Here is a 25,201-nt window from a genome sequence, read left to right as displayed (position 1 = left end):
AGCTGGAATAAGGAGGAAGGAAGAGCAGTGAGAAGGAAAGCCCGAGGTCTTCTCTCCTTTCTCTGGGGCTGGTATGCTCTTCCTCCTTGCTTCTTCACCTCACAGAAAGAGAAATCAGGAACAGAAACTACTAATACAAAAAGAAAGATTTGTTTCTATCATTTCCTACGAAAACCGTAAAAGCTGGCCTGATCTGAATCAGCTGAATGCTCCTCCCCCTCACTGTTGGCTGGGCTAATAACAAAAGCATTGTATTGAGGAAGTTTAGGCATGAATTTTATCACTCCCTAGACATTTCTAAGCAATAGAAAGGGAGGCATTACTATGAAGTTTTAAAACGCATACTACTTTGAAATTATCACGTAAGAATAGTCACAAGGGAACCCAGTAAGACTGCAATTTCTCCTTGTTTTACACCACAGGACTGAAAAGGGAGTTGAAGGAGATTAATTACATTCCCTGCTAATCAATGCAAAGACATATTTTTCTGCTTCTCCATCTCATAATTTTTATTTCATCTAGTTTGGGCTTTTTTAGGGTTGCCAGATGTCCCAGTTTCAGTGGGACAATCCTGCGTTTTGAAGGTACGTCCCATCTGCTCTTGAAAATATTTCTGTTCACTGATCTCTCATCGACTGTAGGGTTTTTAGAGCTGCCAGCCAGAGTACGGCTGCTGGAAAGAGGATGATAAATTATTGTAACACTATAAAAAAAAAAATCACTCACATCTACCGCTACCCCACCTCAGCAATGCTGTGAATTAATTCTGCAAGAATGTTTGTCATGAAAGGTGAATCTCCACGTCTCCATATGGGAATTTGAAGCTCTTTTCACAATGGCTTTGAGAAGATGCTACCAGGCAGGAAAGAATGCATGGAATGAGTCCTGGACTAGTCCTCAGAACATCTGGCTCTGCCATTTTCCTGAAAAGTAACAGTGGGCCAGTTACTTAAGAGATTGTTTTCTGAGCACCTACTCTCTACTCAACGCTAGGCACTTTAGATAAAATATCCAATTCATGTCTATAATAACTTGCATAGCAAGTTTATAGATAAGGGTGTTGAGGCTCAGATCCGCTGAATCCAGAACTCACTGGTGCTTTTTCCACTACAGACGTCTCACTTGCTTCATCTGTTAAGCAGCAATAATAATAACAGTAATAATAATTTATACCTTATAAGATTTGAAACAGAGGTTGATGAACAGACTCTCTAAAGGTTTCTTCTAGGGCTTCTATAACAGGGAGTAGGGGAACTTATCAATTAAGTTCCTGTCCATGGGAGGTTTTAAGTGGACAGGTTCCACTGAGCCAACATTCTTAGTGCTGGTCTACGTACTTTTTAACTTGGCCTCAGGGTAGATGCCAAGGCCAGCTCCATCACAGATAAACTGAGTCACCTTAGTTAGGACCATGGAACCACAGTGTCTTCATGCTTGGTATTCTCATATTCCTCATTTCTCATAATTGAAGCATTGAAACTGCCGCTTCAATTCAGCTGTCCTCTGAATCAGGCCACTTATTACATTATTAACAGCCACCGTAACTTACTGAGAGTGAGTTTATCATAATTATTCTAACAGAACAAGGCCCTGACAGCAGAGGCCAGGCAGGGCAAACACTAGCGGTGCTTGCTGTCCCGGGCAATGGGGTAATGTCTGGGAGGCACACTTTGCAGGGAAAGCTCGTTACGCCAAGAGGCAAATGAAAATGTTCCAGAATCCTGAGAAAAAGCACTGGATGATTTCACTAATATTCATTGCCTAGTTTTCATCACACCAATAGCTTGGTGTTCTTTTCCGGGCCCATAGCTTTTTTTATTGCCATGCTTTAATAGGCCTCAATGGAAGGAGAGTTGATAATCATCTCAAATATGAGCCTTTGTCAGTGTATCTAAGTAACAAACACGCAGGAGGAGAGATCCTAAAATACTACAAGCACGTCAGCTGTCATCACTTAGGATGTTTTGCTGGTAGCGGCATCACACGGCCTACTCATTTTGTTGTTTTTCCTCTTGCCCTTCACAAAGGCATTTTCTCCCAGTAATGATGAAAATCTTTTTTCTTAGATTTCAGTTCCTTAAACTCTTACCTGGTCTCTCTCTGCTCCTTATTGGGGGCAAGGAGTTTTTGTCTTATGAACTATGGAAGACGCTTCAGGAGGTCAATAGACCCCTTGCAATCTTTTCAAAAGCATGCATACATGTGCATATGCACATTTCATCAAATTCTCAGAGGGATGCATGATATCAAAATGTTTAGAAATGAGTGCAGTAAAATATCCCTTTCTCTGGGGTTACAGGGCCAGATATAAGAATCTGGATGGGAGGTTGAAACCACAGCTAATGTTCTACTGGTAAAGAGATGAGGAGTTATTTCGAATCCTCATTGCCTATGTTACTATAAGCAAATTAGTTTAATTCCTCTGTTTTCTCAGCTGTAAAATGGGCTCCATCTGTCTCTCCCACGGACTCCACGGCCCTTTGTTTTCCCTGTAGCTGTGTTCCTGGCACATGAATTTTCTCACCAATTGTGAATACTCCATGCCTCATGGCCCACGCTGTCACATGGTGGTTTCTCTACTCCAGCACAGGGTGAGAAAACTACACTTTTCACATGTTCCCAGCTGGTCCTCTGGCATGGTTTGGTTAGGTTAGGCAGAGATCTGGCTATTAGTGGGTTGGAAGAAAACTGAAAACTCTTCCTGAGATCAGAAGAGGGTCTGTCAGGGCAGGACAGAAGCTGAAGAGCTGAGGGAACTGTTCATTTCCTTGAGTGTCCTCTGGCAGTACCGTGCAGATGCCTCCACCAACAGATGGCAGTGCCCCTCTGGGCTCTTGAAAACTCATTTCTCAGGGTTAGCCCTGGGATGGGCTTCTGCTGTGGGGTAAGACTGCCAATGCCAGGGATTTACACTAGGTGACCTCTGGCAAGCACATGGTTCTCCACCCTATTTCTCAGCTCATCCTGATTTGTGGAGAGAAGGTCGTTTCAAAGGCAGGACGATGTGTCTGGGTCTCCAGGGCAGTTGTTGCTTCTCACACAAAGAGTGAGATTACAATGGCGGGATGTTCAGTGACTCGACGAGTCACGTTCCTCCTTGACTTGTTTTTAATTACAGAGGCAATACATGTTTTTGTAGATGATTTCAAAAAAGGCATATAAACAAAAATAATTTTTAAAAGTCACCTGAAATCACACTACCCACAGATAACCACTGTTAACATTTAATGCATATCCTCAAAATGATACTGTTTGGTAACCTGCTTTTTCTAACTTAACAATATAACAAGAAGAGATTCCAGGCTAGGAAGTGCATATAAATCATTTTGGAAAGTTACATAGTGTTATCGTAGTTCATTTACAGATAGACAGTGGTTTATTTAACAAACCCCACATTGTGGGACAGTAAAGTCATCTCTCTCTCTCTCTCTCTCTCTCTGTGTGTTTCTTTTTCCTTCCCCCCCTCTTTAAGTGTCTTTGTCTTTTATGGCCAACTCTGGCAAAGGCATTCTTACAGTTAGTTACATTCCTGAGTTAGTTACTTAGTTGCCCTTTCTATCCTTGTCCAATCATTTCCTAGAGTGTAAATTCCTAGAAGTAGAATGTCTGGGACAAAGTTATATAGAAAATTACAAATGCTTATCACCTTCTGGAAAGTTTGCCCTTTTTACCCACACCACCAGTGAATGAGAGGGCCCTCCCTAAAGGGACCCTCTGAAGTCTTCTGAGAATCTGTCCTGCTCCTAGTCTGGCAGAATTCTGTGCTAAATCAGCTAAAGGAGACAGGAATGGTGGCTGTGGAATGCCTCCACAGAGGGGCCGTCAGTCCTGCCAGATCCTCACCAAGGATTCTGCAGGGCCAGTCTTCTCATCCCCTCCCACCCCTACCCTTGGTGAGGGGCTTGGGAGCCTGGAAATTTACTGGAAGTCCTCCAGAATTAGTCTGAGAGAAGAAATGTGGGCAAGGCAGTGTCACCCTAAGCAGTGGCTGATGTAAATTTGATGTCCACTATATCGCCTCGTCATCTTTCTTTTGGAGAACAATTATGACGATTTTTCCTTCCTGCCACTCTCAAGTCCCCAGGAATGGGCAGTGGGAGAGTGACCAGGACTTTGTGCATTGCCCCATTGTAGGTTATGAGGGTCCCAACAACATTTATAGACAAACTGTTGGACTATGTTTTATCCCAACGAAAAAGGGACAGGGGATGCAGGGAAGATATGTTTACCCTGGCAGGAACTGAAATTCCATATGGCCATGAGGTTAGGATAAAGGAAATGCACAAGGTAACAGAAAACAGCAAAAGTCATAGGAATGAACCAGCCAAAGACCAAGAAGTAAAAAGAGGCAAGAAAGTTGCCAGAGGATATCAGAGGCAGCCGTCAATGTTGGATAGAGAGTCCAAAACCTGAAGCCAAGAGTCCAGGAGAAAGGACAAGTGGTTGGAAGCCCTGGGCACAGTCTAGAGTGTCTTGTTGCTTAGAGTTTGCTTTAATCAGCCCACATGGACTCAGTGCTTGGATGGATTATGCACTGCCTGGCTTACACAAGCTCACAGGCCCGCCTGTGCAAAGGCATCACGGCAGAACAAACTGGCAGATACAGCTGGATCCTCCACATGCATAATGCAATGGTCATAATGAAATCACCAAGTAGTGGAACTGACCTTTGGTAGCCAGGGTACCTGGGGTGGGAGTAGGGGGCAGGATATTTTATAGAGTTAGGCAAAAACTAGCAAGGAAGAAATGTCTCTGGCTAAGGAGAAAATCATTTCTAGATCAAGAGAGGTCATGTACAAGCACTCCTATCCAATTCTGCAGCTCAGCTACAGGACATTGGCCCCAAGGAACAGGCCCCAGAGAGTCAGAGATTTACCCTAACAGCAAGAGGTGTTACTCAGGCCAGGCATTTTTGCAAAGTGTGCTGGAGACGAGACAGGGCTGGGTGTGGGTAGGGAGAGTCCAGGCCCTTGTATACCCCTGAGTAGTCTTCCATATGAATATATATTTCTCACAATTAAAAAAAAACAATTAAATTGGTTTCCCAAACTGTTTTCATAGAATTTCATATAATTTTGCATGCTGTAACAACATATTGTTGAGAAAAACAAAGCAGAGTATAAAATTATGTATATGGTATAATTTCAACTCAGCAGAAATGTTTATACATGTATATAGAAAGGGTCTTAGCAGGAAATAAACTAATATTTTAACAGGTTGGGCAAAATATTGAACTTTGATCTATTTTATCCACTGATACAAACCATTCTCTACCATGGGTGATAAGTCTCCTGTTTAAGGAAGAAGGAAGCAATAGCCCCGTGCTGCCATCCACCTGTGATAAGAACTGAGTTGAGCCCAAGCAGAAGCATTTGTCGGACCTGGGAAATGAACAAAGAGGCACAGTGCTCTGCCAGACAAAGCCACATCCTTGGTGAAGTATGAATGAGAACTGCTGTGTTTTCCTGAGCTTTTTCTTATGTCTTATTTTTGCTCCCTCTGATTTCTTCCATAATATTTTCAGCTTGTTAAACTGTTTGTACCTTTTTATAACCAAGCTAGATATCAATTAACTAATTGATTACAATGAGGCAGATGTGGCAAATGATGTCAGCAGGAATATAACGATTACACTTAAGTTAATTGAAGAGTCAACTGCAGCTAGCTCTTATCCCATGATGCAGATTCAGCCACTTTCACATAATCTGTCTTTGTAATTCTCTGTTTAAAAGACAACTCCAAGGGTTGTTAGAGATATCTGGACTGGGAGGGGAGGCAGAACTGTGTGATGAGAAGCAGCTTGGATAGAGCAGAAAAGATCATGCATGAAGAGGAAAGATTTGGGGTTTGATCCCAGCCCCACCCACTCCTGCCAAATTAACAGCTGTGTGACCTGGGACAAGTCCCAGACAGTCTCTGAGCCTCCATTTTCTTATTTTTGTAATGGGGATATAGTACCTATTCTCTGGGTAAATAAAATTTATATAAAATGAGAGCTAGAGCAGGGGTCCTCAGCCCCCATGCCACAGATCAGTACCAGGGCGTACTGGGTCACACAGAAGGAGGTGAGCGGCAGGTGAGTGAGCAAAGCTTCATCACCACCTGAGCTCCGCCTCTTGTCAGATCAGTGGATGGCATTAGATTCTCATAGAAGGGCACACCCTATTGGGAACTGCGCATGTGAGGGATCTAGGTTGCATACTCCTTATGAGTATCTAATGCCTAATGATCTGTCACTGTCTCCCATTATTTCCAGATGGGACAGTCTAGTTCCAGGAAAACAAGCTCAGGGCTCCCACTGATTCTACATTATGGTGAGTGGCATAATTATTTCATTATATATTACAATGCAATATTAGGAATAAAGTGCACAATAAATGTCATGTACTGGAATCATCCGGAAACCATCCCCCACCCCCTAACCCTCCCAAGTCCACGGAAAAATTATTGGTCCCTGGTGCCAAAAAGGTTGGGGACCACTGAGCCCCACACACATAGCAATTTCCCCTCCAAGTTATTGAAGTTAAGACTATTCCTGAGAAGACAGCCCTCTGTTCAAAGTACAACTCCTTGGCCCAGAGCTTCAAAATGGGAGCCTTCCCTCTCTGCTCCTGTGTGCACCTGGGGCTGGATTTCTCCCTGTGGAATTCACTATGAACTAGTTTTACCCCCCGTAGGCTGAAGCTTTAGCTTTGCTAAGTCCTACGTGTCAGGCCTCTGAGCCCAAGCTAAGCCATCATATCCACTGTGACCTGCACGTACACATCCAGATGGCCAGTTCCTGCCTTAACTGATGACATTCCACCACAAAAGAAGTGAAAATGGCCTGTTCCTGCCTTAACTGATGACATTATCTTCTGAAATTCCTTCTCCTGGCTCATCCTGGCTCAAAAGCTCCCCTACTGAGCACCTTGTGACCCCCCACTCCTGCCCGCCAGCGAACAACCCCCCTTTTTCCTTTACCTACCCAAATCCTGTAAGATGGCCCCACCCCTATCTCCCTTCTCTGACTCTCTTTTCGGACTCAGCCCGCCTGCACCCAGGTGAAATAAACAGCTTTATTGCTCACACAAATCCTGTTTGGTGGTCTCTTCATATGGACACGAGTGAAATTTGGTGCCCTGACTTGGATCGGGGGACCTCCCTTGGGAGATCAATCCCCTGTCCTCCTGCTCTTTGCTCCATGAGAAAGATCCACCTACGACCTCAGGTCCTCAGACCGACCAGCCCAAGAAACACCTCACCAATTTCAAATCTGGTAAGCGGCCTCTTTTTACTCTCTTCTCCAACTTCCCTCACTATCCCTCAACCTCTTTCTCCTTTCAATCTTGGCGCCACACTTCAATCTCTCCCTTCTCTTAATTTCAATTCCTTTCATTTTCTGGTAGAGACAAAGGAGACACATTTTATCCGTGGACCCAAAACTCTGGCGCGGGTCACAGACTAGGGAAGGCAGCCTTCCCCTTATTTCCATGCTGCAACCCCTTCTCTGCTTTTCTGGAGGGCAAGAACCCCCCACCCCTTCTCCGTGTCTCTACTCTTTTCTCTGGGCTTGCCTCCTTCACTATGGGCAAGCTTCCACCTTCCATTCCTCCTTCTTCTCCCTTAGCCTGTGTTCTTAAGAACTTAAAACCTCTTCTACTCTCACCTGGCCTAAAATCTAAGCATCTTATTTTCTTCTGCAATGCTGCTTGACCCCAATACAAATTTGACAGTAGTTCCAAATAGCTGGAAAACAGCACTTTCAATTTTTCCATCCTACAAGATCTAAATAATTCTTGTCGTAAAATAGGCAAACAGTCTGAGGTGCCTGACGTCCAGGCATTCTTTTACACATCCGTCCCTCTCTAGTCTCTGTTCCCAATGCAACTCATCCCAAATCTTCCTTCTTTCCCTCCCACCTGTCCCCTCAGTCCCAACCCCAAGCGTCGCTGTGTCTTTCTAATCTTCCTTTTTTACAGACGCATCTGACCTCTCCCCTCCTCGCCAGGCCGAGCTAAGTCCCAATTCTTTCTCAGCCTCCACTCCTCCACCCTATAATCCTTTTATCACCTCCCCTTCTCACACCTGGTCCGGCTTACAGTTTCCTTCCATGACTAGCCCTCCCCCACTTGCCCAGCAATTTACTCTTAAAAAGGTGGCTGGAGCTAAAGGCATAGTCAAGGTTAATGCTCCTTTTTCTTTATCCCAAATCAGATAGTGTTTAGGCTCTTTTTCATCAAATATAAAAACCCAGCCCAGTTCATGGCTCGTTCGGCAGCAACCCTGAGACGCTTTATAGCCCTAGACCCTAAAAGGTCAAAAGGCTGTCTTATTCTCAATATACATTTTATTACCCAATCTGCTCCTAACATTAAATAAAACTCCAAAAGTTAAATTCCGGCCCTCAAACCCCACAACAGGACTTAATTAACCTCACCTTCAAAGTGTACAATGATAGAGCAGATGCAGCCAAGAAGCAACATATTTCTGAGTTGCAATTCCTTGCCTCCACTGTGAGACAAACCCCAGCCACATCTCCAGCACACAAGAACTTCCAAACGCCTAAACCGCAGTGGCCAGGCTTCCTCCAGAACCACCTCCCCCAGGAGCTTGCTACAAGTGCAAGAAATCTGGCCACCAGGCCAAGGAATGCCCACAGCCTGGGATTCCTCCTAAGCCATGTCCCATCTGTGCGGGACCCTACTGGAAATTGGACTGTTCAACTCACCTGCCAGCCACTCCCAGAGCCCCTGGAACTCTGGCCCAAGGCTCTCTGACTGACTCCTTCCCAGATCTTCTCGGCTTAGCGGCTGAAGACTGACGCTGCCCGATCGCCTCAGAAGCCCCATAGACCATCGTGGACGCCGAGCTTTAGGTAACTCTCACAGTGAAGGGTAAGTCCGTCCTCTTCTTAATCAATACGGAGGCTACCCACTCATTACCTTCTTTTCAAGGGCCTGTTTCCCTTGCTTCCATAACTGTTGTGGGTATTGACAGCCAGGCTTCTAAACCTCTTAAAACTCCCCAACTCTGGTGCCAACTTTAACAATACTCTTTTAAGCACTCCTTTTTAGTTATCCCCACCTGCCCAGTTCCCTTATTAGGCCGAGACACTTTAACTAAATTATCTGCTTCCCTGACAATTCCTGGACTACAGCTACATCTCATTGCCGCCCTTCTTCCCAATCCAAACCCTCCTTTGCGTCCTCCTCTTGTATCCGCCCACCTTAACCCACAAGTATAAGATACCTCTACTCCCTCCTTGGGATCATGCACCCCTTACCATCTCATTAAAACCTAATCACCCTTACCCCGCTCAATGCCAATATCCCATCCCACAGCATGCTTTGAAAGGATTAAAGCCTGCTATCACTCGCCTGCTACAGCATGGCCTTTTAAAGCCTATAAACTCTCCTTACAATTCCCCCATTTTACCTGTCCTAAAACCAGATAAGCCTTACAAGTTAGTTCAGGATCTATGCCTTATCAACCAAATTGTTTTTCCTATCCACCCCGTGGTGCCAAACCCATATACTCTCCTATCCTCAATACCTCCCTCCACAATCCATTATTCTGTTCTGGATCTCAAACTTGCTTTCTTTACTATTCCTTTGCATGCTTCATCCCAGCCTCTCTCCGCTTTCACTTGGGCTGACCCTGACACCCATCAGGTTCAGCAAATTACCTGGGCTGTACTGCCACAAAGCTTCACAGACAGCCCCCATTACTTCAGTCAAGCCCAAATTTCTTCCTTATCTGTTACCTATCTCAGCATAATTCTCATAAAAACACACGTGCTCTCCCTGCCGATTGTGTCTGACTAATCTCTCAAACCCCAACCCCTTCTACAAAACAACAGCTCCTTTCCTTCCTGGGCATAGTTGGATACTTTCGCCTTTGGATACCTGGTTTTGCCATCCTAACAAAACCATTATATAAACTCACAAAAGGAAACCTAGCTGACCCCATAGATCCTAAATCCTTTCCCCACTCCTCTTTCCGTTCCTTGAAGACAGCTTTAGAGACTGCCCCCACCCTAGCTCTCCCTGACTCATCTCAACCTTTTCATTACACACAGCTGAAGTGCAGGACTATGCAGTCGGAATTCTTACACAAGGACTGGGATCATGTCCAGTAGCCATTTTGTCCAAACAACTTGACCTTACTGTTTTAGGCTGGCCATCATGTCTCCGTGCAGCGGCTGCTGCTGCCCTAATACTTTTAGAGGCCCTTAAAATCACAAACTATGCTCAACTCACTCTCTACAGCTCTCATAATTTCCAAAATCTATTTTCTTCCTCACACCTGATGCATATACTTTCTGCTCCCTGGCTCCTTCAGCTGTACTCACTCTTTGTTGAGTCTCCCACAATTACCATTGTTCCTGGCCTGGACTTCAATCCAGCCTCCCACATTATCCCAGATACCACACCTGACCCTCATGACTGCATCTCTCTGATCCACCTGACGTTCACCCCATTTCCCCACATTTCCTTCTTCCCTGTTTCTCACCCTGATCACACTTGGTTTATTGATGGCAGTTCCACCAGGCCTAATCGCCACACACCAGCAAAGGCAGGCTATGCTATAGCACAAGCCACTAGCCTGCCTCTTAGAACCTCTCATTTCCTTTCCATTGTAGAGATCTATTCTCAAGGAAATAACTTCTCAGTGTTCCATCTGCTATTCTACTACTCCTCAGGGATTATTCAGGCCCCCTCCCTTCCCTACACTTCAAGCTCAGGGATTTGCCCCTGCCCAGGACTGGCAAATTAGCTTTACTCAACATGCCCCGAGTCAGGAAACTAAAATACCTCTTGGTCTAGGTAGACACTTTCACTGGATAGGTAGAAGCCTTTCCCACAGGATCTAAGAGGGCCACCACGGTCATTTCTTCCCTTCTGTCAGACATAATTCCTCAGTTCGGCCTTCCCACCTCTATACAGTCTGATAGCAGACCGGCCTTTATTAGTCAAATCAGCCAAGCATTTTTTCAGACTCTTAGTATTCAGTGAAACCTTTATATCCCTTACAGTCCTCAGTCTTCAGGAAAGGTAGAACAGACTAATGGTCTTTTAAAAACACACCTCACCAAGCTCAGCCACCAATTTAAAAAGGACTGGACAATACTTTTACCACTTTCCCTTCTCAGAATTCAGGCCTGTCCTCAGAATGCTACAAGGTACAGCCCATTTGAGCTCCTGTATAGATGCTCCTTTTTATTAGGCCCCAGTCTCATTCCAGACACCAGACCAACTTGGACTGTGCCCCAAAAAACTTGTCATCCCTACTATCTTCTGTCTAGTCATACTGCTATTCACCGTTCTCAACTACTCATACATGCCCTGCTCTTGTTTACACTGCCAGTTTACACTGTTTCTCCAAGCCATCACAGCTGATATCTGCTGGTGCTATCCCCAAACCGCCACTCTGAACTCTTAAAGTAAATAAATACTCTTTGCTGGCAAGGCTATGTTGAACCTCCTTAGGCACTAATTAGATGTCCTAGGTCCTCCCAATTCTTAGTCCTTTAATACTGTTTTTCTCCTTCTCTTATTCCGTTTAGTTTTTCAATTCATACAAAACTGTATCCAGGTCATCACCAATAATTCTAAATGACAAATGTTTCTTCTAACAACCCCACAATATCACCCCTTACCACAAAATCTTCCTTCAGCTTAATCTCTCCCACTCTAGGTTCCCACGCCGCCCCTAATCCCACTCAAAGAAGCCCTGAGAAACATCGCCCATTATCTCTCCATACCACCCCCCAGAAATTTTCACCGTCCCAACACTTTACCACTATTTCATTTTATTTTTCTTATTAATATAAGAAGACAGGAATGTCAGGCCTCCGAGCCCAATCTAAGCCATCATATCCCCTGTGACCTGCATGTACACATCCAGATGGCCAGTTCCTGCCTTAACTGATGACATTCCACCACAAAAGAAGTGAAAATGGCCTGTTCCTGCCTTAACTGATGACATTATCTTCTGAAATTCCTTCTCCTGGCTCATCCTGGCTCAAAAGCTACCCTACTGAGCACCTTGTGACCCCCACTCCTGCCCACCGGAGAAAAACCCCCCTTTTTCCTTTACCTACCCAAATCCTACAGAAGGGCCCCACCCCATCTCCCTTCGCTGACTCTCTTTTTGGATTCAGCCCGCCTGCACCCAGGTGAAATAAACAGCTTTATTGCTCACACAAAGCCTGTTTGGTGGTCTCTTCACACGGACGCGAGTGAATTAGTCCAGGGTGAGTGCCACTATCTTTCAGGTAGGTAGAATGCCTTTTCGAAGAAATAAATTGGTACTCAGAAATACCAAAACTTACTGTGAATATTTTCTTTATTTGACAATACTAAAAAGTAGTAAAGCTGTCATTGCTACTAAAATATATATTAAAATACATATTCCATCAGCTAAAATATATATTTCATCAGCTCTGAATTTCCAAAGACTAGTTCACCTGGTATGAATAATCATGTCCAGTAATTTACCCTTTCTTTTAGCAATTTTTTTTCCTGTGGAAAGTTGGAGTTTTCTGCCCAATCATCAAGCTAGATGTTTTTTCCCTCCTTTTTCCAGAGACTCCAGTCTTAGCCCCCAAACTCTAATTCTAGTTGATAAGCAATGGAACTGCTAATATCCCTTGTGGGCTGGCTACAGTTCTGTAGTTTGAAATGTAATTCACAAAGCAACCTTCAACAGTCCCATTTGCTTACAGAAATACTGAGAGCTAGCCTTGCCTATGTATCAAGTGCCTGAAGACAGTTTCCAACTGGTCCTGATTGTTTGAATAACAATGACGTTGACATGAATAGTGCTGCAACAGTTATTTTATCACCATATCAAGTACCTTTTAAAGAACAATAGAGGGTTGGCATTCAAGACACTTCTAGCAATTAGGAAGACAATCACCTCTTTCTCATTCTCCATCACTGCTTTCTTTCACATTCAGTTTCTACAGGCAGTTCTGCTTTAGTGATCATTGTCAAATCCACTCAGAGGTAGAGACCAATCCAAACCTCTTGGATTGTTTTAAGGCTCTGGTATATTAAAAGATGTATCAATAAATGTCAAAATAGGTCACAGATATGATGGTATTTTTAAAATATTTACATTTAACAAATTGATGTTTCATACCCGAAATATGATCTAATATAATCATGCTGTTGTTCACAAGTGTCTGGTAGAAATAAAAATAAAAACAGCTTACATTTACTGAGTGCTTACTGTATGTTAGACGCTGCTCAAAGTACTTTTTATATATTATGTCATTTAATTTTCCCCTCAATCTTATCAAGTAGATTCTATTACCGGTATTTCAAAGACAAGGAAGCTGAGGCAGAGATGTTCATCAGCTTGCCTGGGCTGATAAGCAACAAAACAGATTTTCAGTTTTCAGCTGACTTTTTTCCAGTCCTGCTTGTATACTTCTGAGGCTGTGATTTTGGACTCAGTGAGAGTCAGTGATGTAAGTTCAAATTTGAGACTGAATGTGAAACCTGCGCCTCCATGGGCTCTGGTCATTTGCAATAACCAGGAGGCCACTTACTTTGCAGTAATGCCAGGACCTCACCCTAGTCCCCAGTTGGCACGTGACCTCTCAGTGGAGAGCACACCAGCCACACACTTCCTCTTGGTTCTGAGTCCTGGCATGGACACACGAATTAGGTCTTCCCCACATGAGACCACAAATACTGCACTGAAACTCTTTGCCTTCTCAAAAGGAAACACTTTAGCCCATTTCCTCAGTGGCTTTCCCAACTCCAAGCATCATTCCCAAAGACTTGGAGCTGAAACTGAGTCCAGGGAAGTCACCTTTTCTGTCTCACCTTTTTTCATCAATCCAGCAGGAAAATTGTTTCTTCCTAGACACCTCGAGATATGTCTCAAGCTTTCTCAACAAAGTGAGTGAGCAAAATGGAGAATGGCATGGTTTGATTCTTTGTAGCTTTCAACCAGAGAAGGAGGGAGAGAAAGAGGCAGAACAACAGCAAGAGTGCATTTCTGCCGTTTTTATCCCACCCACTCCTCAACCTACCCCAGCCTGTCTCTTTCCTGATGACCTCTGTGATACTTAATCTAATGAACATGTCTCTGTTCTCATCTTATTGTACCTACTTGTAGCTCTTGACTCCACTATTGCTTCTTCTTAAAATAATCTTTTCCCTCAGCATCTGTTCCTGACATAGTTCAGGTTCTTCTTCCCCAGCTCTCTGCCCCCAGCCCTTCTCAGTCACACAAGCAGACCTATCTATTCTACAAGGATTGGTGGCTGCCTCTTTTCTTCTCTCTCCCGTATTTTCTTTGCTTAGGTGATCTCATTGATGACTAAGACCTCAATCACTGATTACACACAGGTAATTCTTTCAAATTCTTGTCTCCAGACCAGACATTTCCTTTTATCTCCAAATGCATGTGTCAAAAAGATTACTTATTACATCTCCTTTAAAGCACTTGGGATTCAACATTTTATGTGCTTCTGAAATCAGACTTATAATATTCCCACCATAAACCGAGTTCCTTTTTGATGTTTCCTTTACCAGTCAATGGCCAGAATTTACCATGTTCCTTTCTTTCCCAAGATGCTTGACACATGCTATTCCCTCTTCCACATTAATATATGTTACGTAAATATATGCATGCATAAATATACGCATAAACACAAATGTCTACATACAAAATGGCAGATCAGTAGAAATAAGTCCCATTTTATCACTTGCTAAATTTCAGTCTTAATGACCACTTTCATTTATGTACTGAGGTAGTTAAAAATCATTTATTACCAAAAAGTAAATGTAAACTTGGTGTTGAATTCTACACACATAAAACGTTGATCTCAGCACACATTGCAATTCTTTCCATCATAATCATCATAATTTCAGCTGAAATTATAATCTGCTATTGCAAACAACTGGTTGAATTTTTTTTTCTATTTCTTGTTTTCCCACTCAGTGGACAGCTGTTTACACTGATGTTTTTCTGATGGAATTATACCAATAATTTTTTTGCTGCCACAGGTCAGCTGTCAGTCTGTTTCCTAATCTAAAAATAAGGATTAGAAAGGAATGTATGTACTGGCTTATTTCAGTTTAAATAGAAGCACATGAAAAAAAGATTCCAAAGGCCCAATTTCTCACTTTTATCCAGATGTAACCCTCAAGTGCAACTTCATCCTTCCAAACACTTTCTAAATATTTAATTTCCCATTTACTTCCACCATCTGTACACAGGACTGGCTAAGTAATTTGCAGGGCCCAGTGCAAAATGAAAATGTAGGACCCTTGTTAAAAAAAAGTATTAAGAATTTCAGAATCCCAACAGCCGAGCATTAAACTAAACGTGAAACCTTCCAAAGCCTGGGGCCCTGTGTGAGTGCACGTCACTACCCATGAAGCAAACACTGCCAAAACTTATACAGAGTTTTCTTTTAATTCCTTATATTGCAAACCTCATGTTTCCAATTCTTTTGAAATTTTCATACCTTCTTCAGCTCCTTCCTATATTAATGTACCCACATTTTATTTATTCATTCAACAAACACTGAATTAATGAATAGTTTTCATATGTTAGGACAAAGTATCTGAGTGCTGCAGATGCAGAGATAATAGTTTTCGTATGTTAGGACTAAGTAGCTAAGTGCTGGAGATGCAGAGATAAATTAGTGATGAATCTTACCCTCAGAGGTCTGGAATCATTCTCCAGAGAACTTCAGGTCCCAATCCTTGAGCTAAAGTCTCCTCATGAGGTAACAAAAGTGTTGCAACCCTTTTGCTCTTAGAAGGTCAATAAGAGCATGATATGAAGCTCAAAGGTGCTCAACATGAAAATTAGATACTTGTCATGAAGTCCTCATAAACTCTATAAAGGTAAAAATTGGAATTGCCTCCTAACTACTGAACCCATTTTCTTCTTTTTCCTTTCCTTCCTCTTACCCTCTCCAAAGTTCATAAACAATAAGGACTAGGTTATGTTGCAATAATAAAAGACCCCTAAATCTCAGAAGCTTCTAGCACAGAGGGCTGTCCTCACTCATGCTAGGACCCAGCACTGGCTGCAGCTCACTCCAGTCACCTCCACTCTAGAACCTAGACTGATGGAGCAGCCTAGGGCATCGCAGCCTCCATCCGGCTCATGGCAGAAAGAGAAGAAAACATGTCAAAGGCCACACAGCTCTAGAACTTCCACCCACAAGAGGTAGATATCACCTTTGCTCAGGCTTCATTGCCCAAAGCAATCTCATGGCCACACCTGATTTCAAGAGGAAGAGATGCATCATCCTCCTGCTGGAGAGGATGGTGAATCTGGTGAATAATACTACAAAGAACAACATGAAGAATCACAATTAGCAGCCCAGACTGACAGCAAGGTCAAGACCTAAAGTAAAGGGCCAGCATGGAGAATAGGCAAGACGGCAGAGCAGAGAGTCTAAACCAGCCAGACAGTGTTTTTTTCAAATTTTATTTTAGCTTTTGATGAAAGCCCACATACCAGCTTTTGCAGAGACGATGAGGGAGATCAGAAAATATTCTACAGAAGCAGTATAGTTCAGGGAAAAAAAAATCAAGAGACCAAGAATCAAAAAACTAGATTTGTAATATTGTTTGTTATCCTCTCTAAAGCAGCACTGTTCAATATATAAATAATTCTAGGCACATATGTAATTAAATTATTAGTAGACACATTAAAATGAAGTACAAAGAAACAGGTAAAGTTAATTTTAATAAATTATATTTAACTCAATATATCCAAAATATTATTTCAATGAGCAATCAATATAAAACTTATTGATGAAATGTTTGCATTTTTATAGTCTTTTAAATCTGATGTGTGTTCTATGCTTACAACATGTCTTGATTCAGATGCTAAATCTTCCTCAGAAATAATCTGTATTTAGATTTACAGTTGAAAAAGTAGATTAACAAAGCCAAATTGCTCCAGATGTACTTAAAGTTTTTCAATAACTAAGTAAAATATCAGTACGTAAATTGAAATTAATTAAAATAAAATTTAAGTCAATTTTTTAGTTACTTTCGTCACATTGCAAGTTCTTAATAGCCACAGGTGGCCAGTATCTACCTTATTGCATCAGTTGCCATCTTGAAAATCAGGTTTACTGACTTGATCATGGGGTGATTGGATTCATTCTTTGCTTATACAACTTGGGGTTCTGTCACTTGGTAATTCAAAATGACAAACAAATCAGAATTACAGAGCATCCTCAGAATCTCCTCTTCACATCCTTGAACAATCGCTGGGCTGGTTTCTGTATCAATGAGTTTCAGATATTTCTGAGAGTATTTCAGAAATCTGAGGATGCTACTTAGAAGTGAATAGAGCCCATAAAATATTTTCTAAAAAATATCTGCAAAATTAATCTTGAAGTCATTCTATCATGATCTTCGAACGCCTTTTTGTTCTTGTTGTTATATATTTAAGTGTTTGCCCTAAACTTCTGGAGATGTGCAAGGTAGCTGTGCCAGAATCAGTAAGGCCTGGAACATAACACAAACCACCGCCAATTGCTTCCCAATATCATTTGTCATCTGATCAAGGGCGGTTCCATTCCATCTCCACATGAGCTTGTTTTCTACTTCACCTACCTGTCCATATGGGTTAAATTCAACTTCTAGTTTTCCATATTATCTAAGAAGCCAAGAAAATAAGTTCAGAGCCAAATGTTTTTGCTTTCATATTAAATAACTATGTGCAATAACAGCCTACCTAGGGCTCACACTCTATACATTTTGAAAATAAATCATCTCACTTGAACATTCAATATTCATGTCAATATGAATGACAGGAAGAGAGCAGTTTAAAATCAATCATGCAGCCAGTACATAGAAACATCTATATTACAAAAACAGACTGTAAAGTGTTTGTCTAATACCTCACCCTACATCAGCCACATTGGGTTTCTGCTGGGACTAACATGACTCTAATTCCACTTAGTACATGATCAACTCTCAATATGGGCACTTTCTTCTGTGTTTGGATGCGCTGCAAAGAGCAGCCTTATAAAAAATAGGGTATCTTTCCACTGGTTTCAAAGTCACACTTCTGGCAAGTTCTTTCAACTCTCCACAATAAAGTCCTGAACCCAAAATAAAAAACAAATAAACACAAAATATTCTATTACTTGCTACTGAGCAACAACCGATTAAGTGGCGTGTCAGGCACCACTGTTTCCAAGGAGTTGTCACTTGGAATGTTCCACAGCATAAAACAACGGGGAACATTTTCTAACTCAAGATTCAAAACAGGAAGCCACCCTTCCCTCCTGTTGGATGCTTTTCTCACAAGAAAAGAGCATGGGAAAGAAGAGGGTACAGAGGTACAATCAGGGACAACAAACCATCCTTTATTCCTGAGCAAAAGGAGCAGGATGAGATGAGGCTCGCTGGAGGTAATGGAGTGGTCCCATGAGTGGGGAGACTTAGTATTCAGCCCGTGCTTTCAGCATCCCAACAAATATGGGATGCAGTAAGTCAAAGGAGAAGTAACAACCATGTCTTCTCATCACCGCACCATTTGAGAGAGCATAGACTTAGAGACTTCAGGTTGGCGAGACAGAGATACAACTTATCCCAGCTATTTCAGAATAAAGAAGTACATTAAAGGCCGGGTGCAGGGGCTCATGCCTGTAATCTCAGGACTTCGGGGGGCCAAGGTGGGTGGATCACTTGAGGTCAGGAGTTTGAGACCAGCCTGGCCAACATGGTGAAACCCTGTCTCTGCTAAAAATACAAAAATTAGCTGGGTGTGGTGACGCACACCTGTATTCCCAGCTACTTGGGAGGCTGAGGGAGGAGAACAGCCTGAACTGGGGAGGCAAAGGTTACAGCCAAGATCGTGCCACTGTACTCCAGCCAGGGCAACAGAGTGAGATTCTGTCTCAAAAAAAGTAAGAAGCACATTACATTTGTATGTAATAATTGTCTTAAAGCTAGAAAGGGATACAGTCATGCATTGCTTAAACAAAGGAATATTTTCTGAGAAACTATATTCTGAAAAATGCATTATTAGGTGATTTTGTCGTTGTAAGAACATTATAGAGTGTACGTACCCATACCTAGATCGTATAGCCTCCTGCACACCTAGGCTATGTGTTGTCACCTATTGCTCCCAGGCCACAAACCTGTACAGCATGGTACTCTACTGAATCCTGTAGGCAACTGTAACACAGTGGTGAGCATTTGTGTGTCTAAACACATTGAAACATAGAAAAGATACAGTAAAAATACTGTGTAAAAATTTAAAAATGGTACACTTATATAGGACAGCTCCATTATAATCTTAAGGGACCACTGCAATATATGTGGTCTGTCACTGACCAAAACGATCCTTATGTGATGCCTGATTGTATTATTAAAAAAAACTCACTGCCAGGCGCGGTGGCTCATGCCTGTAATCCCAGCACTTTGGGAGGCCGAGGTGGGCAGATCATAAGGTTAGGAGATCGAGACCATCCTGGCTAACACGGTGAAACCACGTCTCTACTAAAAATACAAAAAAATTAGCCAGGCGTGGTGGTGGGCTCCTGTAGTCTGAGCTACTCGGGAGGCTGAGGCAGGAGAATGGCGTGAAGCTGGGAAGTCGGAGCTTGCAGTGGAGCCGAGATCACACCACTGCACTCCAGCCTGGGCAACAGAGTGAGACTCCATCTAAAAAAAAGACAACAAAAAAACCCTGACAATTACAGTAAAATTAACAGTATTAATGATAATGATGACACCAATGACAGTGAAATATTGATTTCCTTTCTTCTTTTTTTTTTTTTTTTGCTTACTTGCAGTTAGTGAACTAAGGCAGGTCTGAAAGGTCCGGATCAGGTCAGCACAATTACCCCATCCTAGACATTGTGGTGAAGTTTGCTCTGACTACTCCACGGCCATCTGGCTCATCTCCAGGCAGTCTTTCCTTGCCATTGGAGTAGGAAGATATGGAGGACTTGAGAATCATGTGTGAGCTTAAAGGAGAAGGGAGCACAAGAGGTTGCTCAATTGCTTTAGTCTAGGCCAGTCTTCTGCATGGTTCAGTCTAACTCCCCAGAAGAGTCTATTTTGATTTGGGTCCCAAACAAGTTCCCATACAATACCCAACACAAATCCCAACTTGCCTTGAAGTGCCTCCTTTCCCAGTCTTGTCCTCTGTGCAGATGGTGTTTTGGTGAGCAGTGAGATTCTGGCAGGACAGACCTGGTGATGGGTTCCTGGAACCTTTGGTGAACCTCCAAAAGACCAAGGTTATGTATGCACAGAGGGCTAGAATGTGAGCAGCTGAGTCCCACATTTTGGCAGGTACAATTGGCATTAGGAGAGGCCTCCAGGGCCCTGTTTCCAAGTATTATCCACAGATTTCTAGGTGGAACTACCCTGAAGATGGGCAGGGAGGCTGTGTATTTAAGGCTCTGGGCCAATTACCCTTACTTCAACCAGAGCAACTCTTTGTAATTACTTTATACATTGGCCACCTAAGAAAGATTTTATTTGAGTATAGGATTCTATATAATAAAGCAAGATGAAACAAAAAGTCCTGAGAACCACTTCTTTAATATTTGCACCCCCAATGGCAAACTGTATTATGTCCTTTTATTTTCTGTATTCTGATGCTTTGACATCTGGGATCTTGCTGACTTTGAATGGACTGCCCCGCCTGTTAGGAGTGTGCCTTTCGTATGCAAACCAAGCGAACGAAATTAACCAACATCCCTAACCTCTTCTTTGTTAGACTATCATGTTCCAAGCTACTATTTCCCTGCCCTAATCACCCCAGGGCCAGGTACCAAATAACTAGGGTCTGACCCTACACCCCAGCACCAGCCAAAATTATTCCAACTAGCTAATCCTAAACCTGCATACCCTGCCTTGCTTCTTACTTCCCATAAAACCATAATAAGGCTCTTGCACACATTTCCCCTGCCCCCAGTGCGTTGTTCAAATATTGAACACGTATCCATGCTATTGGTTCCCTTTACTTCATTTGATTTTTCAAACTTGATGTCATGATGCAGTTTCCCTAATTAGCTTCTTTAATGATAAAGCTTGGAATGTTATTTAGAATTCATCAATTCAAAATATATTTTCAATTTTTTTTCTTTAAATAGCAGTGCTTATACAGAACAGGGAAAAAAATCCAAGCAGGACACAAGGATATAGAAAGATATAGATTTCTGACATCTGTTCTCAGCCCCGTTTTCCCCACTTTCACCAGTTTCGTGTATGTGATCCTAGAGAACAAATATGCTATTGCTGTTGGTTGTACACATCTTAGCCACTGTGTCTTTTAGCTATGCCACAATCAGGGAGGGGAGGGGTGCCCATGCGAACAGCATCTGCTATGGGGAAGAACAAAGATGCTTTCCTGAATTCACATCCTACCCTTTGCTCCTGCTGCTCCATCATCCTTTCTCTGCTTTGCCACAACTGTAAATTACTTCCTGAAGGCCCAGGTCAAACATACCCAGCTGGTGATGGTGGCCTCCCTGCCCACTAAGTCCCGCCTGCTGCTCTAACTCTCCAGGAAGAACCAACGTCTCCCTTCCAGTGCCCCACTCCTAGCTCTTTGCATGTACCAGTATTCTAACCTATTTTTCCAAGAGTCCTAATTGTTGAAATGCTTGTCCTCCCCCTGTTTGCTCCCTGTAAGTTCCTTGATAGCTAAGACCCTTCATTAAAAATCTTTGTGGTTGTACATAGGAGAGTGCATTTCACATAGTAGGGGGTCAGTAAATTTTTAATAAGTAAAAGAATGAGGCACAGACAAGCCCTTCCCGCCAGTGAGTGGAATCTAATTGAGATGTGATTGAATCCTAAAAGCAAACCCTGGCTGGGTTTCTTGGTAAGAAACTGTGATTTTCTCACTGTGGCTCTCTGGAGGGGCCTGCTTCTCAGGGCTCAGTGTGTGGTCTAGAATCATGTGCACCGACATATTGCAACGCGGTATTTTAATGATGCCTTAGGTAGGAGGCAGCGCTGTCACATATGAAATAGATCGAGAAAGAGACGGCTCTTCCTCTTCCCATTTTGAAAGTTATCAGATATTTTGGAGGAAGATGCAAATATCAGATCCCTTTCAGACACACAGACATGGGCAGAGACACATACGCACACGGAAACGTTGTGTCTTTGCTAAATATAAACCTTTGTAGCGACAGTATCTCAATAATTTTAAAGTGAAAAGATAACGAAGGGGAGCCAAGTCTTTCATAATGAATGCGAGCCTATAGCTTTTAAACAGGGCTAACATATGGGCCACTGATGTGAATGTGAATGCAAATTAGGTATTTTTGATTGCTTGAAATAAAGTCAGCAGAATCAAAGCCTCACACAGCAAATGGTGCAGCTTTAACTACGTCGGTGCCAGGTTGGAAACAAGAGCTCTTAACACATCCTTGATGGGGGGAAAAGGGCTTTCAGGCTGGCATTTTGGATTGAGGCCTTTCTAGGTAGGACAAGGATAGGGAGTGCCCTTCCCTTGATTGCCATTCTGGTTCTTCTTCTATGAGAGTCTTTCATTTTTACCACACAGAACTAGACTAAAGATCAACTTGGATCTCTAACCTTCCTGTTTTATTGTAGGTTGTCACAAATCTTGGGGTGATACGGAGTCTTTGGAGGTATTTTATCCAGCTCCTTTTACCTTCAGGTTGGTAAAGTCTTATGCCCACTGTGATAGGCACTTTCCTGACTGCTGGAGAGCCACAGGGGACTAAAACAGTCACTTTGTTCAAGGAGATTTCTACTGTTGGGAGAAATGAGACCTCCTGTCTCACTCTTGTGTTGTGTGATGCTGTGGTGGAAGTGTTCCTAGAATGCAATAGGGGAACAGGTGTGGGCCATCTCCGAAGTGTGTGTGTGTGTTTGTGTGTGTGTGTGTGTGTGTGTGTGACATGGAAAGCTTCCTGAAGGAGTGACTACTGAGATAAACCTGGAAGGATAATGAGCAGCCAACCAGTCAGAGGAAGAGGGACTAGCCTGTGCAGAGATACGGAGGTGAAAGAGGGGCCCATGTAGTGGGACACAGTTCCCTATGAGGTAAAGGATGAGAAGTGCTGAGTAGGCAACCTGTGTCAGGGGAGCTAGCCCTAATCCCAGCACAAGCTACCTGACCTGGTTCCCAAGAGCAGTAGGTACGGGGCCAAGGTCAAGATAAAACCTCTAGGGGGTGGATTGCATGAGCTCAGGAGTTCAAGACCAGCTGGGCAACATGGCGAGACCCCGTGTCTACTAAAAATACAAAAAAGTAGCTGCGTGTGGTGGTGCATGCCTCTAATCCCAGCTATTCAGGTGGCTGAGGCACGAGAATCGCTTGAACCCAGGAAGCAGAGGTTGCAGTGAGCTGAGATTGTGCCACTGCACTCCAGAACTCTTGCCCCCTCTAAAGAATGAAGTGCCTGTCAACTAGGGTGGCCATTAGGGTGCCTGCCCAAGCTCAAGTGGTTAAAACCTGAGAGTCAGAGCCGGTCAAGCAGCCCCTGTCCTCTTGTCCTTTATTCCCAGGCCTGAATTGCAGCCTCCAAAGTTTACCACTAAGAGGGACTAACATTGTCAAAGCAGGCTAACACTTCTGTCCCCTTCTATTATAGTAAATGCAAGATTCTCCCCATCCTACCCTCTAACTCAGGGTTTCTCAACCTTGCTACTATAGATGGTCCCTGACATAACTGTGGTTTAACTTAAGATTTTTAGATTTCACAGTGGTACAAAAGTGATATGCATTTGGTAGAAATTGTATTTCAGGCACTCAATCATCATTCTGTTTTTCACTTTCAGTACAGTATTCAATAAATCATGTGAGATATGCAGCATTATATTATACAATAGGCTTTGTGTTATATGATTTTCCTCAACTATATGCTAGTGTAAGTGTTCTGAGCACATTTAAGGTAGGCTAGGCTAAATTACGATGTTCAGTTGGTTAGGTGTATTAAATGCATTTTTGACTTACAATATTTTCTACTTATTAATGGATTTATCAGGATGTAACCCCATCGTAATTCAAGGAGGCCCTTTATTGACATTTTGGACTGCATACTTTTTGTGGTGGGGGGCTATTCTCTATATTATAGGCTGTTTAACAGCACCCCTGACCTTGACACACTAGATGCCAGTGGCACACATACCTCTCCCCCACTGATTGTGACAATCAAATATGTCTCCAGACATTGCCTGACGTACCCTGGGGGTAAGTCATCCCATGTTGAGAATGCTGGCTCTAGCCAATACATACAGATACACTTTTTGGGGGGGCAAATGCTTATTTCTCTATTCCAACATTCTGACCTTGATGGGGACTTCTGCGCCTCACAGACCTCTCCTCCTATCCCAACTATGCTTGAGGCTGGATTCCTGGTTTGAGCTGTAGCAACCGGAGCACTTCTGAAGTACTCTCTTGGACCAGGGAGGCTCTCAGTTTCTTCCAGGAGCAACTCTGGATGACATCAGCCTGCTGGTGGCTGTGCTACCAGCGACAGCCTTTACTGCTCCAAGGTAGTCAAGTGATGAGGCAGAGATGTCACAGAGCAAAATTCTAGTGGCATTTGAGCACCTGGTTCTAGTTTCCCTAAGACCACTTATATTCCCTGTTCATCCTGTGGTTTTTCTCCATGAGCACTACTCTCCCCTTTATACTGATTTAGTTTGAGTTGAGTTTGTATCATTTACAACCAAAACAGACCTAAAGAATACACCATGCCAGGATGAGAAAAGTCCAGTCCAAAGAAAGCCAGATAAGTCAACAAGATGAAGGGAAGTGAGAATGAGATTGTGTTTCTTTCCATGTCTAGAGCACAGTGGGTGGCCCATATCAGGCTGGTTTAGGCATGGCTGCTGGCTGGGGTTCATCTTACCTCCCTGGGACGAGCAAAGAGACAGCAGTGAGACAAATAACCAGGAGTCAATTCTTGAGTGGGATCAGATCTTTAACCCTTTTGCTTATCCCAGTGAAAGTTCCTATTCCCAGAACTCTTACCTAATGAAATGTATGATGATTGGAAGTATCCTTGCTCAAGGGTCAAGCAGAAAATACCTAGTCTCCCAAGGATAAACCATACTCACACTGCAATGTAAACTGCTAAGAATTGCTCATGTTAACAGGAGTGCGTACTGAAGGAGAAAGGAATAAGAGCTGTGCCACTATGGGGCCTGATCTGGGATGGCATTCACCTCACAGTATTGAGAAATGATGTCCTCTCTGCTTGGGTGGAGCAATC

General features: G+C 43.0%; 4 annotated features.

The window, feature by feature from the left end:
- Positions 224–313: an enhancer, noted in NCBI's record as "active region_25823". NCBI's record gives its function as "activates an Ori minimal core promoter by ATAC-STARR-seq in GM12878 lymphoblastoid cells {active_cell/tissue: GM12878}" and the evidence as "EXISTENCE:reporter gene assay evidence [ECO:0000049][PMID:35858748]".
- Positions 296–1,495: an enhancer, noted in NCBI's record as "CDK7 strongly-dependent group 2 enhancer chr7:31517206-31518405 (GRCh37/hg19 assembly coordinates)". NCBI's record gives its function as "activates an origin of replication core promoter dependent on BRD2, BRD4, P300/CBP, MED14 and CDK7 cofactors, with strong dependence on CDK7, by STARR-seq in HCT116 cells {active_cell/tissue: HCT116}" and the evidence as "EXISTENCE:reporter gene assay evidence [ECO:0000049][PMID:35650434]".
- Positions 11,664–12,374: an enhancer, noted in NCBI's record as "OCT4-NANOG hESC enhancer chr7:31506327-31507037 (GRCh37/hg19 assembly coordinates)". NCBI's record gives its function as "activates a minimal SCP1, AML or CMV promoter by ChIP-STARR-seq in naive H9 embryonic stem cells {active_cell/tissue: H9 hESC(naive)}" and the evidence as "EXISTENCE:reporter gene assay evidence [ECO:0000049][PMID:30033119]".
- Positions 12,375–13,086: an enhancer, noted in NCBI's record as "OCT4-NANOG-H3K27ac hESC enhancer chr7:31505615-31506326 (GRCh37/hg19 assembly coordinates)". NCBI's record gives its function as "activates a minimal SCP1, AML or CMV promoter by ChIP-STARR-seq in naive and primed H9 embryonic stem cells {active_cell/tissue: H9 hESC(naive and primed)}" and the evidence as "EXISTENCE:reporter gene assay evidence [ECO:0000049][PMID:30033119]".

This window comes from Homo sapiens, chromosome 7, assembly GCF_000001405.40.
Source record: "Homo sapiens chromosome 7, GRCh38.p14 Primary Assembly".
Classification (NCBI taxonomy): domain Eukaryota; kingdom Metazoa; phylum Chordata; class Mammalia; order Primates; family Hominidae; genus Homo; species Homo sapiens.
This window is presented reverse-complemented; position numbering and strand designations above follow the sequence as displayed.